General features: G+C 33.0%; 1 protein-coding gene across 29 annotated transcripts in view; it reads left to right on the top strand.

Annotated features, from left to right (window-relative positions):
* The window catches only part of SUPT3H (SPT3 homolog, SAGA and STAGA complex component), a 568878-nt gene that overhangs the window by 281373 nt on the left and 270267 nt on the right, over nt 1-17238 (top strand). The window contains exon 2 of one of the 29 annotated variants that reach the window (XM_017011374.3): nt 5168-5267. The exons of the other annotated variants lie outside the window; for them this stretch is intronic. The gene's annotated coding sequence lies outside the window, so the exon portion shown is untranslated. The remainder of the gene's footprint in view (nt 1-5167; nt 5268-17238) is intronic. 29 annotated transcript variants of the gene reach the window in all.

The raw sequence follows: 17238 nt of genomic DNA, 5'->3' as shown, positions 1-17238 counted from the left end.
AATGCATAATTCTTATCCAGTGCTTCACTTAGGCCTGTGCTTCATTTTAAGTAATTTCACCTTCTTCCACTCTTTTCCACTTGTTAGGTTGTGGATAGCTTAGGCCTGAGTTGACTGTTTTTCCCTGAAGTTTATGTACATGTAGATTATATACTATGTTAAATAATGAAAATACATCATCTAAAATCTATATAAAGCTTTCGATTTTACTATTTCAAGAACAGATTAGAACAATAAAGTCATAGAATTTCAAAGTTGAATTACACTTGAGAAATTATTTAAACCAACTCTTACATAAGTTTGAACCAAATGAAATTGACATATTTACAGGCTATAAATGATTGAATATTGGTGATTTTATATGATTCAATGCAATACAAATTAGAAATTGTCACTAGAGAAAGGTTTCAAACTCTTAGTTTCTTTATTTTGTTATGTTGCAATGCTAATATTTACTTTTTACTGTAGTTATAAAGCATCATAAAGATTATATATATATGAAGGAGTTAATGAAATTCCTGGAACATAGCGTCCCTTCTCTAGGTTACTAGTAACAGTAGTAATAGTTGCTATTGTCGTTAATAATGGGGCTATTTAATGGCATGATTGAGATGAGAAATGGATTAGAAAATTTCCAAGAATTTCACATTTACCAGAGAGATGCAAACTTTTTCATATCCTAAGCTTCCTTACTCCTCACTTTCCAGGTTGAGTTAAATCACATTTGAAGTAAGTAGAGATTTGTGCCAACTGCAAATTATGTTTGAGTTGTTGTTATGATGTTGTCAATATCTCTTTCAAGTTCAAAAAGTAATGATTTCAGATGGCTATATAGCTGCTTTCATTTCTCTGTTCATTCAAAGTTAAATATCAAAAGATTCACTACATTTTATGCATAGAATGTAATTACCATTCCATTTAAAAATCATATTAGATTTTCACTGTATGAATCTACCAGTCAGTAGTAAGCTGTGTAGTTGGTTACACTAGTTTTCACATCAGAACCAATTTATCATGTTTAGCTAATTCTCCTTAATTATGAAAAGTAATAAAGAACAAATTTATAAGTGTGAAGAGTTATGGCTTAATCTCCGATCTGGATTAAAATGCACTGAATTCACCCCTCCCTCCTGTAATGCTTTTTAATTTCCCTGGTAGAAGCAGTTCATGCAAAGCTCTGTTCTGTCCTCATCACCAGTTCTGTGAGGCTGTCACTTATGCCACCTCAGTAATGTTTTATGGGTGTGTTTTAAAATAGTAATAAAGTTTCCTATGTAGAATTTCAATTATAAGGGTTATCAAAATAGGACAAACTAATATAATTTGTGATTGCATAAAATAAAGGAAGCAGAGGTACCATGGGGACCTAATGAATCATAGGATGGAAACAGTCTTCTTGCTAACTAAACGTTCATACTTTGTACTAAGCCAGAGCATGTATATGTAGTTCAGCAAACCAGAACACACTCTGTGTTTACATGAATGGAATATGAGGTAGTCCACAAATACCATCTGGGAAAAAATTCTCGGCCTTTCTGTCTGCTACTGTGGAGTAAATTAAGCATATGTTTAGAATAAACAGACTAAAAACACACCTGCTTTGGGGAAAACACACACGTATGGTCACATATGCGTACAGAGTTGTTCAAAATAGAATATTTTGTGTTGGTAAAATCTGATTACTTTTCTTCATTTTTACTTCTTAAGTAAAAATGAAGTATTATGGAATAAGTATTATGGAAAATTTCCTGATTATTTCTGTATAGCACCACTTGTTTGTAATTGATCACTCCTAATATCTTCTACTTAAATTAGTCTTATTTTCTCTCATATATTACTACCTCATGCATCAATAAATACAATTGTCTTTTTAAAAAAATAATAAGTAACTATTGACTGATACTTAGTTTTTAAAATGGGCATATTCTGTGTAGAATGCCTCTTATGCTACATTCTCCCCACCAATTGCCATGGATAGTTTGCTAAAGGCATGACACAGAGGATCAACTGGGAAGGAATTCCCAGTCCTTTCTCCCACTCTTAACATATTTTTTTCCTGCTGTAGTATATCCTACTAACCAATTCATTTTGAAAAGCAGTCTTTACTTCAGTGTCACAGAATTTCAGAGTATAAATTGTTTTTCACTTCCAGTAAATTACAAGTATTGTCTCATGTTACTTGGTTTTCTTAGCATAGATATAAAATAGCATCTTCTCACCTTTCAATTTGTGTTTCTTTTCTTGCATCAGGCTTTTCTCCCTAAAGGTTCTTCCTTTTTTTCTCTGCTGGTCTGCTAGACTCCTATCCCCTGACTTAAGCTAAGTTCTAGCTACTTGTATCCTGTACCATGCTTGGATTTTTAATCTGTGCTGAACGTTTTAGTTCGGGCTAAAATTTCTCATAAATGCTTAGGTTCCAAGTGTTTTAGATTTACCAGAGAGATGCAAACTTTTTATAAAACTCCCACTCTCCAGATTGAATTGCATGTCTTAATAGAGATAGGCAGAGATTTGCGCCATCTTGAAATTGTGTGACTGAGTCTATATTATGCTTTTGATAATACCCAATTTTAAATGAAGTTCAAAAATTGTCATGATTTCTGATGGCTATGTGGCTGCTTTCACTACTCTATTAAATATGTGTAGAATATAATTTGTTTTATGCATAGAATATAATTATCTAACCTTCCATTTGAAAATCATATTAGGTTTTTTTCTATGTGAATCTACTCAACAACTAGTAAGCCATTCAGTCTGTTGAACTATGCTTTCATATGTGAATCTATTCTCTGGATTATTTTTGAGATTATTTATAATCTTGAATTATAAAAAGTAATGAAGAATAAACATATCTGTGAAGAGTAACTGTTCAGTCTCCCATCTTGATTAGCATGCATCAGGTTCTCTTTCTCCCTCTTTCTTTGTTCTTACTTTTTGTGCTTTTTAATTTGGCAGATGTTTTCCAAGTATTCTATTCTCATTTATCAGTTTTTCTTTTCTCCTCTGTATCTGAACTAAGAGATTGTTTAAAACTTCCTCTTTCCAGTTCCTTTCCCAAGATCTTTGAATGTCTTTTCTTTATCCATAACTCTGCATCTTCTTTCCCCATTGCTGCTATTACTCTTGATTAGTGTTAAGTTTCTGCAGAAAAGAAGAAAATAACAGTTAGTAAACATCTACTATGTGTGAGGCCGTCTTCTAAAGAGTTTGCTTATATTATTTTATTGTATATATAGGCCATTTTCCAGGTTTTAAATAAAAACATTTCTGTATAGCTTTTTAACTTACAAAATTTTAACCTAGCTTGAATTTATCCTATTTTTTATAAAAATATAATTAGCAACTTTTATTTATTTATCAGATCTCAGTATTATATATTTTTCTACATTTGAAGAACATACAATTATTTTGTAAAATATGTATTTTTATCCCTTTAGATTCTGATATGAACTCTTCACATCCATTGCGATGTTTTATTGGGGTGTTATTTTACTACATTGTGTTAGTTGTTTTATTAGGGGTGTTATTTTACTACATTGTGTTAGATGTTTTATTAGGGGTGTTATTTTACTACATTGTGTTAGGGAACAGATTATTTATGCTGATAATTTCAATTCTAGTCGTTCTCACATCTCTGGGTGAATTTATAAATCACATTGTTAGTTTCCCAAGCATATATTAACTGTCCTTAGAGACTTCTCTAGTAAGTTGTTATGAAACTCTAAGTATATATATAATCTGAAATTCAAAAGGTATTTATATTTGAAGCACTAGAATAAAATTGACTTAATTTTTTTTTTTTTTTTTTTTTGAGACGAAGTCTCACCGTTGTTCCCCAGGCTGGAGTGCGATGGCACAATCTCAGCTCACTGGAACCTCCAACTCACAGGTTCAAGTAATTCTCCTGCCTCGGTCCCCCAAGTAGCTGGGATTACAGGTGCCTGCCACCACGCCTGGCTAGTTTTTGTATTTTTAGTAGAGGCAGGGTTTCACCATGTTGGCCAGGCTGGTCTAGAACTCCTGACCTCAGGTGATCCACCCGCCTCAGCCTCCCAAATGCTGGGATTACAGGTGTGAGCCACCGCACCCGGCTGACTTCAAATTTTTTAATTAAATGGAAAGAGAAAGTCTATTAAATAAATGTGTCAACTAGAAAAGGCTTAAGAAAACATCTTCAGGATAGAACTTTGAAAATGATGTTTATCAGTAAAATTTTCACTGACTTTGCACTTCTAATTCAACTAATAATATGGCATTAAGTAATAAACATCAGCATAAATACTGTAAAAATCATGCTCAGTACCCAGAATGTATTTAATCTAAGAGTTTCTTTATGTGTTTTTTGGGTTTTTTTTGCAGTAGAGTAGGAGGAAAATGGAATGGAAAGGACCAAGGCAATTAATAAGGCAGATGCTGATAAGAAACAGCAAGAAGTTGTGACGGTGTAGAGCCAAGATAAAATAATTGCTAAAAACACAAATACACACAATTATAGGTTATCTAGTTGGTTTACAAGTAAAATATATAATGTAAAGTATGTTCCAGAAAATATATATTAAAATATCAAGTTTCCTAACTTTTTGGTTTCAGAGAACATCATTCTGTTGTATTTAGCCCAGTATGCGTATTGATATTTGTAACCATATAAAATATAAAATTTATATTTTATTTATGTAAAATGACCAAAAATTTTATATGACCAAAAACTTTTTCTCCCCAAAACTGTAATGACCAAAGACTTTTAAATGACCAAAACATTTTTCTCCCCAAAACTGTATATAAAGATTCCATAATTTAGCAAATATCCTTAAGGAATTAAGGGAAAAATATTTTTAAAACTTTCTGTGTTTCTATCTGTAGTTTGACAGAGTGGCATCACTTATAAGAAACATTTCACTAAATACTTCCAGTAAACCTAGAGAGTTAGAAGATACTCTCTTCACTTTATAGGTTTAGAAACTGAAGAACAGAAAGATTAAGCAACTTGCCCACAGTCACACAGCTTATAAGTAGTAGATAGGGAATTCAAACCATTTCTTCTCTAGAGAGTTTGGGGATTCCTTAGTATAGAAAATATGCTGTTTTTTTAATGGGTACTTATCAGACTGAATTTACTATATGTCTGTAAGGTCCCTTCTAATTCTGAGTATTCTGTGGTTCTCTGCAGTAAGAAGAATATTGTTTTCAGAGTAGTATTTACATTTTGCAAATAGTTAGTGAGGAGTGGTTGAAAAAGAAGTAATTGAAAAAGAGAAGTGCCAAGAAAGGTAAGCACAATCTTCTTTTGGTGTGGAAAATACAAATTCAGTTTCAAGTCTATGATAAATATTTATCATATTTGAAGTTTGGAAAGAGAATAGCATTCTTTAACATGAGAAATAGTTTTAATAACCAACAAAACATAATGTAGGCATAAGTTATAATTTCATAACATTAAAATAGAAATCATTTGATAGACCACTGGACAAAGGTAATTCAATATATAAGAAAGAAGGAATTTAAACATACTTGAAAAGGATATTTAAAATATTGTGAACTTTTCCAGAAATCAACCATATTATTGCTTGCTTTGGTAATAAGCTTTAAGAAGAAAAGTTTTAGTAGAATCTTTTTCCTTGAGCACTAAAGTTTCTCTTTGTAGACTGTTTTTATTAAGAAGATCACTAGACTCGATGTAAGATTTGATGATAATACAAGAAGTAAAATAACTGTATTCCTAATAAAATGTTTATGGTTCACATATAGTTAAAAGAATAATAATTTTTTCACTAGTTAACTTTTACTCCCATCATAAAAGTCTCAGCTTTATCCTTTTCAATTATTTTGTCTATGGCAGGTTTTAAAAATCAAATATTGCCTTTTTTTCTAAATATGCAAGCATTTGATTTCACTGATAAGAATACGGTTTCAATGAGTACATTATATTTAGTAGAAACTCAATATTTTTTAATTCTTTTTTTCACTAAAAGCAAAAGTATTAATACTCTTTTTCTAAATAACTTTGGTATTTTCTATCATGGTGGATAAAAAAGTCCCTGCATTTTCATAAAAATCAGAGATCAGGTGGTGATATTTTCAAATGTCTCTTTTGTGAGAATAAAGAAAATACTGGAATTCAGTTTCCCATTTCTAACATATCTAATTTATTTGTTCTCTTTTTATGCTAGTCAGGAACTGAAAGTTTTTTATAAGACAAGAATGAAGTTATTTATCTATGTCAGTATTAAAGACCTAATGGCTGTTCTCCAAAAGAGAGAATGGTAATTAATAAATTATCCTTTTATTTACACTGAGTTTCAAAACCAATTGCTTCTTTGTTTTCAGTAAGTATAATATTTTTGTGTGAATAATAAGCTACATAGTAATGATTAATAGCTAACCCCGTTTGGATTTCAGAATGGATGTGAATGATGTTGTCAGGAATGGAATGCCTATTTTAAAATGTCAGCTATATTGCAGAGCTTTTGCATTTTATGCCAAGAACCAAATTCAGCTATTGGTTGATATTATATCACCTCTGATCAAGCCATATGGGTTTCCAGTTGTATGAGCAATGTTTCTTAATTGTATGATGGAGAAAGGTGATGAAAAAGACACTTGGGACCAGATTTTCAAGGTCATTGAATTTCAAACTGAGTAATTTGTATGTAATTCTGTAGACAGCTGGGGACAATTAAAAATTTTAGAGAGTGGCAAAGTAAGTGAAGTGGATAGAATAACCTGGCTATTTTATATCGAACTGTGAAAGACTCAAGATGCTGCTTCTGGAGAGGTCAGTTATAAGGAGGATATTGCAGTATTTAGGCAAAAGTTGTTGCTAGCTCTAAGTTGCACAGTTACAGATTCTGAACTAACACATCCTAGTTTGAAAAAAAAATGTAGAGCTGCAATATGCAAGATTTCATGGGTTCAGGAATTCAGGGCCAGGAAGGTTAAATAAAAGATAAGGGAGAGCAAGTCAGAGATATTTCCTAAGCAATTGGGAGAATGACAGATTTGTGAATTGAAATAGGTCAGAAAGCACAGATTTGGAAGAGAAATGGTGGTTTTAGACATGAATTTGAAGCTCTGATGAGAGACGCAGAAGAAGAAGGGTTTTAGAATAAGGCGAATGGCATTTCAGGAAGATACTGTTTGCCTACAAAGAGGCCTGGTTACAAGTGAAATGGGTGACGCCACTCAAGAGGATACCCAGGAATCTTGAAAAGAGAAGAATTGAGTCCTGATTGTAAAAGGGAAGAACATCATTGAAATAAGAAATGTAACATATAGATTGAAATTTAATTTTATTAGAATGATACAAAACTGCTGTTTTTGGAATTCTTACTCATAATGCTTTGAAATGAATGGGATGTTTTTAAAAACCTATATATTTTTACTTTTGTTTTAAGGTGGACTAAAGGAAAATGTTATAGGCTACTCTTGGCAAGCATTTTGCCATAAAATTTTCTGATATGGATAAACAAAAAGCTAAATTGTGTATACTTGCTACTATATTTTCCATTCATATGATATTTTGAAGTCCATATCTCAATGTACTGAATTCTACTTTCCTTCAGATGAATACATCTTATTCTGGTAAAGAAAGATATCAAATTTACAAAGTTAGTGTAATTGTTATATATTATTTTGTTTTAGCTTCAACTACTTATGCTTACTACCTGTAAACAATAGTTCAGTATGGGTATAAATTAAATTCCATATCACAGAGAATAAATGAATTTAAAATCATATAACAATCAAATCTACCATGACAGCTGTCAGTATTGATCTGAGTGAGAAACTGATAGAAATACTGAGTTGTTAGTACATTTATATGTACTAACTTGGTATATTCTCATTTGGTAATCACTGTTCTAGATGTGACTCCCCTGATCCCTGATTACTTTTGCAAAACCCACAGGGTTCGTGAGCCATGAGTTGGTAAATGCTTGTAGACTGGAATGTTTTTGGAGACAAACATTGCTGGATTTGAATCTTGGCTTCATAACTTGCCAGTTATACAGTCTTGAGCATATTCCTTAATCCAAGTCCTCATTTAGTCATCTCTTGGAATTTACCTACATCATAGGCATTATATAAGATAATGTGTGTAAATGACCTAACACTGGTCTACATTATTTGCCAATGGGAACAGGATTAATGGCAGCCAAAAAATTTTTTGACATTTGGAGTAACAGAGTGTCAAAGGCAAAGACACTAAGAGGCAGAAAGAGCGCTCGAAGATTCATAGCATGCAGTATTTCTGAGGCCACCCTTCTGCTTTAGCATGTCATGCCTTATACAGTTTTGTCACTATTTCTCCTACCTCTACTTTTTATTGCCAATATTCTTAGATACCTCAACATTCTTAAAACCCAGTTTAGATAATTTATTAAACATGAGTTTCCTTGTTCCTTTCTTGTCAGTTCCCGTCTGATTTTATGTCCCTGAGAAGAAACCTGCAGACGCAGAATGATCTAAATTTAATTCATTTCAATCCTGGAGACTTAGGAAGCTTTTCCATTAATTTTATGCCTTCTCGTTTTATCTCTATAATTGGAATAGAACTTAACTATCATTGAAATAAGAAACAGCATTGACTGAAAGCACTTATTTTTATCCAGCAAATCCTTGAATATTCTCCTAAATGATCTTCGAGTCCTAAGATATTGTATTTTAGTGGCGACTTCTATGTTTAGTTTTGTTTCTTTTTCAAACTTGATGGTTTTCAGAATATTGTGTGAAGAAATTTCCCAACATTCTTGAAAAATACATGATTTCATAAGTACATAGTAATGTGGAGTTTGAGGGAGGTGAAACAGAGAAATGGATAAATAGGTAGATGAAACAGAGAGCTCAAGCCCCCAAACTTGACCAGTGTGCTAAAATGAGTATAGATTTCTTATATTATTATTATTAGGTGTAAATTAAGTAATACTATGAATGTGTTTGTAAATTGTAAAGTGCCTTTTCATAAAACTAGGGACACTGTTTTGATGTTGACATTTCCTTTTATTATTATTGCTAATAATAATCTTTTTAAAACTTGTGTTTTAAAAGCATTTACCCTCAAAAGTCTATAGAGAAAACTCTTTATCTGAAATATTGGTAAAGTTATTAGATGATATTTTTAGTATAAATGATAGCATTTATACTTTAGAAAAATTCTAGGTACTAAAATTTTAAGAGAAGCAATTGTACTTCCTAAGTTCGTGTGCCCTTTCCTTGTGAATTGACCCTTTAAACATTTTAACTTTTAATAACTTGAAATTTATGTGGGAAACTTCTGTTTGGGGAAAAGCTTAAAATTCAGTATCATTTATTAATCATCCAGCATTATTATTTTGAAAAATAACCAACGAAAATAATGCAGTATAGTAGTTCTGCACTTTAACACTTCAAAATATGTATTCCTAAAAGTAGAATTTTCTTCAAAATATATATTCTTAAAAGTAAAAATTTGCTATGCTTTATGTAGCCAAGGTTACAAAAGACTTGTAACTTCTAATAATTAGCTTAATCTGATTTTAAACTCTTGATGGTTTTGGAACAGAAATTTTTGTTTGAAAGAAAGATTGGCTTGTTAACCGAATTATGTAATTATAAGTAAATGTGGTCACAGCTGCTTTTGATTTTATTGTTATACACCTGATTGGAAACAACAGGTTTTTAAAAATATTTTTCCGTTTCTTACACTGACACCTAGTGTTCACTATTACTGATATCTTAAATATTAAATTTTATTTATTAATAATTATGGAAATAGATTTACGTTCAACATATTTTAGCCGTGTACCTATTCACAGATAAATAACTCTCATTTTCAGTACCAGTGATGCACAGTTTTTCTGGTTACTCCTGTGACATCATTATGAACCAATTGCTGAGGCCATTTTGAATGCAACAAAACTCTAAGAAGCCTAGAGTTTTAGAGATGGAAGAATTGCTGGAGGGAGTTTTTAAAACCAAGATTCTTAAAATCCCAGTGCTTTGTTATGTACATAAGTACTTCAAGCTACGTGTCTAAGTGGCTGATTTAGTTTATGTATGCTTAGTCTCTGTGTCATAGAACAAAATCACATTTAGTCATGCAAGCATTATAAATTTAAAATTCTTGGTTGACCAGGAATGGAGCATGATTGAGTTATTTCTAATTTTCAAAAAGGGAGACTTGGTGATATTATATGTTTACCATTTCCTATGAGTTCCTAAGGATGATTTTAATGCCCCAGATTTCCTAGTAATAAGGTTTAAAGGTGTCGATTAATATCCGATTTTACACAACTAGGTGAAACTGTATATATAATTCGGAGAAAATTTATTTGTGCAGTAAGCATTTGGTATGTCAGAAATATAGTTGGCCAATACAGATAATGAAATTTGTTCATTTTATTTTTTGTGTCTCTCATTAAAATGGGGAATGATATTACTAATAGGATGAAAATTTTTAGCTAAGATTGAGCCTTTAATTTATGCTTAACTTTACAAAGTCAGTGACAGAAACTAAGTTTCAAGTAATTTCTGATAGAACTCCTGCAACCTTCAGTGTTTGACTTTCCAAATGTAATTTTCAGAGAAGTATGTTTCTCATACCTAAAGATCAAACATTTTAAATATAGGAGGATTATAATTGAGTTGTTTTAAATAATAGTTATGATGTTTTTAATATACTTGTGTTTTTTATTTCTACCTAATAAGCCGTTGTTTTATAATTCGTGTAATACCTTTTCCCCAGACAAGCAAAAATTATCATTCTTCTTTTGATCCATTCATCAACTACTTATTAATCATCCAGTATTCGATTGAATCTCATTCAAGAGATAAAGTGCCAAATGAAGTTGTCATTCATGTTGTCTTAATTAACAGAAAAGATAAGTATATAGAAATGTGGAAAACATATACAAGCAAGAGATAAGTAGAAAGGAATTTTGATTACAGTGTTAAATACTTTCTGCTACATTTCTCATATAATCAGGTTTTTGGGTGGATTTCCATAATTTCTGAATAATTTTTTCCATAATCATCAAGTTCATTCTAGAATTAACCAAGTTCTTAGAAATGAGGTACCAAATATGTTCAGTTGTATCTCTAGAACAGGTGACCCAAAAGGTCTGAAAGGAACTTTGTCAGATGTAAAAAAAGGAGAAACAAAACAGGTAGTATGGAGTATGTAGTTTTCCCTTGGCTTTAAATGGGTTGAAAATTATCATTTGAGAATGTCACACACATTTATGTTGAATAAAAATTCCAGCAATAGCAAAAATGTATATAAATACTTTGTTTCTGGGTGCATAGAGATGCTTCAGAATATTTAATTAAATATTTAAACCTGTGTTGGGAGACAGGACAGAAAAAATTTCAAATCACATTTTTCCCCTGGCACTTAGTGCAAATGTATAGATGTTTGCACTTTCTTTTCTACATTTTTATTTATTTTTAATTAATTTTTTAAAAAATTTCAACTTTTATTTCAGATTAAGGGATTTATGTGCTGGTTTGTTACATGGGTATGTTGAGTGACACTGAGGTTTGGGATATGAAGGATCCCATCCCCCAGGGTGTTAGCATAGGACCCAACAGGTAGTTTTAAACCCTTGGCCCCCTCCCTCCCTCTTACCTCCTATAGTTCCCAGTGTCTGTTGTTCCCATCTTTACATCATTTGTACCCAGTGTTTAGCTCCCACTAACAGGTGAAAACATGCAGTATTTGGCTTTCTGTTCCTGCATTAACTCACTTAGGATAATGGCCTCCAGCTATATCAATGTTTCTGCAAAGGACATGATTTCATTCTTTTTTATGGCTGCATAGGATTTCGTGGTGTGTATGTAACACACTTGCTTTATCCAATATACTGTTGATGGACACCTAGATTGATTCCATGTCTTTGCTATTGTGAATAGGGCTGTGATGAACATGAGTGCATGTGTGGTTTTGGTAGAATGATCTATTTTCCTTTGAGTGTATACACATTAATAGGATCCTGGGTCAGATGATACTTCTGTTTTAAGTTCTTTGTGAAATCTCCAAACTGCTTTCCACAGTGGTTGAACTACTTTACATTCCTACCAGCAGTGTATGAAAGTTTCTTTTTCTTTGCAGCCTCGCCAACATGTTATTTTGATTGGTATGAGATGGTACCTCATTGTGGTTTTGATTTGTATCTCTCTGATGACGAATGATATGGAAATTTTTTTCATATGTTGTTGGTAGCTTGTATGTTTTCTTTTCAGAAGTGTCTGTTCATGTCCTTTGCCCACTTTTTAATGGGATCATTTGTTTCTTGCTTGTTGGATTGTTTAAGTTCCTTATAGATTCTAGACGTAGACCTTTGTCGCATGGGTATTTGTGAATGTTTTCTCCCATTCTGCAAGTTTTCTAACGTACTCTGTCAATAGTTTCTTTTGCTGTGCAGAAGCTCTTTGATTTAATTAGGTCTCACTTGTCAATTTTTTTTGTGTTGCGCTTGCTTTTGAGGATTTAGTCATGAATTCTTTGCCAAGGTCAGTGTCCAAAGTGGTGTTTCATGGATATTCTTCTAGGATTCTTACAGTTTGAGGTCTTACATTTAAATCTTTAATGTATCTTGAGTTAATTTCTGTATATGGTGAAAGGTAGGAGTCCAGTTTCATTCTTCTGCATGGTGCTGGGATAACTGGCTAGCTAGCTAAATGTATCCAATGAAGGTCTATAGTTAGCCAGTTATCCCGGCACCATTTATTGAATATGGAATCCTTTCTCCATTGCTTAGTTTTGTCAACTTTGTCAAAGATCAGATGGTTGTAGATGTGTGGCTTTATTTCTGGCTTATCTATTCTGTTTCATTAGTCTATGTGTCTGTTTTTATACTAGACCGATGGTGTTTGGTTTTTTTTTTTTTACTGTACCCTTATGAAGTCAGGTATATGATGCCTCTGACTGTTCATTTTACTTAGGATTGCTCTGGGTATTCAAGCTTTTTATTGGTTCTGTAAGAATTTTAGAAGAGTTTTTTCTAATTGGGGTAAAAACAGTGTTGGTAGTTTGATAGGAATAACATTGAATCTGTACCCTGCTTTAAGCCATATGGCCTTTTTAAAGATAGTGATTCTTGGCCGGGCACAGTGGCTCATGCCTGCAATCCCAGCAGTTTGGGAGGCTGAGGCGGGTGGATTATGAGGTCAGGAGTTCAAGACCAGCCTGGCCAACATGGTGAAACCCTGTCTCTATTAAAAATACAAAAATTAGCCGGGTGTGGTGGCGTGTGCCTATAATCCCAGCTACTCAGGAGGCTGAGGTAAGAGAATCGCTTGAACCTGGGAGGCGGAGGTTGCATTGAGCCGAGATAACGCCACTGCACTCCGGCCTGGGCTACAGAGTGAGACTCCGTCTGAAAAATAATAATAATAATAATAATAATAATAATAATAATAATGATTCTTTAATATCTATGAACATGGAATGTTTTTCCATTTGTGTCATTCTGTGATTTCTTACAGCAGGGTTTTATAGTTCTCCTTGTAGATCTTTCACCTCCTTTGTTAGATGTATTCCTAGATATTTGTGTGACTATGACTATTGTAAATGGGATTGTGTTCTTGATTTGGCTTTCAGCTAAAATGTTATAAATGTATGGAAGTGCTACTGATTTTTGTATGTTGATTTTATATCCTGAAACTTTACTAAAGTCATTTATCATTTCTAGGAGCCTTCTGGTCAGGTCTTTAGGGTTTTCTAGGTGTCGAATCCTATTGTCTCTGAAGAGAGATAATTTGACTTAGTATTTTCCTATTTGGGTGCCTTTTATTTCTCTCTCCTGCCTGATTGCTCTGGTTAGGACTTCCAGTACTATGTTGAGTAGAAGTAGTCAAAGTGAGCATCCATACTTTGTTCCTATTCTTAGGGAGAATGCTTTCAAGCTTTTGCCTTTTTACTATGATGTTGGTAGTATGATATGATAGTATGTCCTTTGATGCCTAGTTTCTTGAGGGCTTTTATCGTGAAAGAATGTGGGATTTTACTGAGAGCTCTTTCTGTGTCTGTTGAGATACTCATATGGTTTTTGTTTTTAATTCTGTTTATGTAATGAATTACATTTATTGACATATATGTTGAACAAACATTGCATCTCAGGAATAAAGCCTAATTGATCGTGGTCAGTTAACTTTTTGATGTGCTGCTGGACTTGGTTTGCTAGTATTTTGTTAATGATTTTTGTGTCTACAATTGTCAGAGATATTGGCCTGAAGTTTTCTTTTTGTTGTTGTTGTTGTGTCTTTGCCAGCTTTTGGCATCAGAGTGATGCTAGTTTCATAGAATGAGTTAGGGAGGAGTCCCTCTTCCTCATTTTTTTGGAATAGTTTCAGTAGAATTGATATCAACTCTTTGTATGTCTGGTAGAGTTCAGCTGTTAATCTGTCTGGTCTGGGGCTTTTTCTGGTTGGTAGGCTTTTTATTACTGATTTAATTCTGGAACTCAGTATTGGTCTGTTCAGAGTTTCAATTTCTTCCTGATTTAATATTGGGAGGTTATGTATTTCCAGGAATTTATCCATTTCCTCTAGATTTTCTAGTTTGTGTAAAATGCCATAGATGTGGCACTTTCTTTATTTGCAAGTTGATTGGCTTTATTTAAATTGCTTATTTTATTTAGAAGCCCAAATGAAATAAAACTAATGCATTGCATTTTCATGTAACTGAGTGAAAGTTCACTTGATTTTTTCCCCCTATTTTTTCCAGGCTCAAAAATTGGCTGAAATTGCTGAGCAGGCAGTTCTTTTAGAATTGTTTCTGTCAATATTTTATCAGGCCCAAGAGTAAAATATTCTGCAGCTACTGCAGTGTTTTTATTGCCACTCTTAAGGTAGAACCCTGTTAAATGGTGTATAAGTATGTGGATTCAGATATGATAGAAAATCCTGTTTCCACAATTATAGTGTATATATAAGACGTAGAGTTAGATTGGATGGTGATTTCTAGCCACAGAGGAGCTCTATCATTCATTCACTCATCAAAGACTTATTGATAAATGTGGCAACCATTGTTTTAGGTACTGGGGATATAATGGTATATACAAGAAAGTCTCTTCTCTAATGGAGCTTATATTTTGGTATGCAAGAAGGACAATAAGTAAATGAATAAATAGTATCACATAGTGTTAACTACTATGAAGGAAATAATCTAGGACAAGGACTGGGAGTAATAATGTTAGATTACCTCAGAGAAGATGATACATGAGCAAAGAATTAAATAATGTGAAGGAGAATACCATGTATTAACAGGGAGTATAAAGGTACTGAGATTGGAATGTACTCCAGAAACAGAAATATCAGTATTTCTGGAGTGAAGTGAGTTAAGGATCAAATGGGACGAGCTGAAATGTAAAAGTAAGATAGGGACCAGATTATGTAGGCATTGTTTTTCTCTCTGTCAATTTCACTCTCTTTGGCTTTGTTCAGGAGAGAAGGTTTTGTTTATTTATTCATTTAATTTCTTAATTTTTAAATTCTTGTGGATACATAGTTGTATATATATATGTACATATATACGTATATATGTACATATATATATGGGATATATGAGATTTTCTGATACAGGCATAAAATGGATAGTAATTTTATCAGGGTAAATGAGGCATCCATCACCTCAAGCATTTGTGCTTTCTACTGCAATCCATTTATACTCTTAGTTATTTTTACAGCTATAGTTAAATTATTATTGATTGTAGTCACTCTGTTCTGCTGTCACATACTAGACCTTATTTATTCTTTCTGTTTTTTGTACCCATTAACCATCCCCACTTTACCTCCACTTCTTCATTTCCCTTCTCAGCCTCTGGTAACCATCTGTCTACTCTCTGTGTCCATGAGTTCAATTGTTTTAATTTTTAGCCTCCATAAATAAGTGAGAACAAGTGAAGTCGGTTTTTGTGTGCCTGGCTTATTTCACTTAATGACCTCCAGTTCCATCTATGTTGTTGCAAATAACAGAATCTTTTTTTTTTAATGGCTGAATAGTACTTCATTGCGTATATGCCACATTTTCTTTATTCATTCTTCTGTTGATGGACACTTATGTTGCTTCCAAATCTTTACTATTGTGACTAGTAAACACGGGAATGCAGATATCTTTTCAATATATTGATTTCCTTTTTTCTGGGATATACCTAGCAGAGGTATATCTGGATCATATGGTAGCTCTGTTTTTAGATTTCTGAGGAACCTCCAAACTGTTCTGCGTAGTGATTGTACTAATTTACATTCAAACCAACATGTATGAGAGTTCCCTTTCCTCCACATTCTCACCAATATTTGTTATTGCCTTTTGGATAAAAGCCATTTTAACTGGGGTGAGATACTACCTCATTTTAGTTTTGATTTGCATTTCTCTGACGATCAGTTGTAAAGCACTTTTTCATATACTTGTGTACTGTTTGTCTTCTTTTGAGAAATGTCTCTTCAGATCTTTTGCCCATGTTTTAATCAGATTATTAGATTTTTTCCTATTGAATTGTTTGAGCTCCTTATATATTCTGGTTATTGAACCCTTGTGAGATGGATAGTTTACAAATATTTTCTCCCATTTTGTGGGTTGTCTCTTACTTTGTTGATTGTTTCCTTTGCTGTGCAGAAGCTTTGCAATTTGATGTAATCTCATTTGTTCATTTTTACTTTGATTGCCTATGCTGGTGGGGTATTACTCAAGAAATCTTTGTCCAGTCCAATGCCCTATAGAGTATTCCTAGTGAGTTCTATGAATAGTTTCATAGTTTGAGGTCTTAGATTTAAGTCTTTAATCCATTTTGACTTGACTTCTGTACATGGCAAGAGATGTGGGTCTAGTTTCATTCTTCTGCATATGGATATCCAATTTTCCCAGAACTGTTTATTGAAGAGACTGTCCTTTGCCCAATGTATGTTCTTGGCATCTTTCTCGAAAGTGAGTTCACTGTAGATGTATGTATTTGTTCTGGGTTCTCTTTTCTGTTCCACTGTTCTGTGTATCTGTTTTGATGCCAACACCATACAGTTTTGGTTACTATAGCCCAGTAATATTATTTGAAGTGAGGTAACATGGTTCTTCTAGGTTTTTTTCCTTCCTTCCTTTTTTTCTTCCTCCTTCCTCCTCCTTTCCCCTTCTTCTTCCTCCTCTTCCCCCTTCTTCTTCCTCCTCTTCCCCCTTCTTCTTCCTTCTCCTCCCCACTTCTTCCTTCTTCCACTTCTCCTCCTCCTCTTCTTTTTTCTTCTTTCTTTTTCTTCCTTTTTGCTGAGTGTGGTTTG

The sequence above is a fragment of the Homo sapiens genome, chromosome 6 (genome assembly GCF_000001405.40).
Source record: "Homo sapiens chromosome 6, GRCh38.p14 Primary Assembly".
Taxonomy (NCBI): Eukaryota; Metazoa; Chordata; class Mammalia; order Primates; family Hominidae; genus Homo; species Homo sapiens.
The sequence above is the reverse complement of the archived record's forward strand: the minus strand, read 5'-3'. Positions and strand labels throughout refer to the sequence as shown.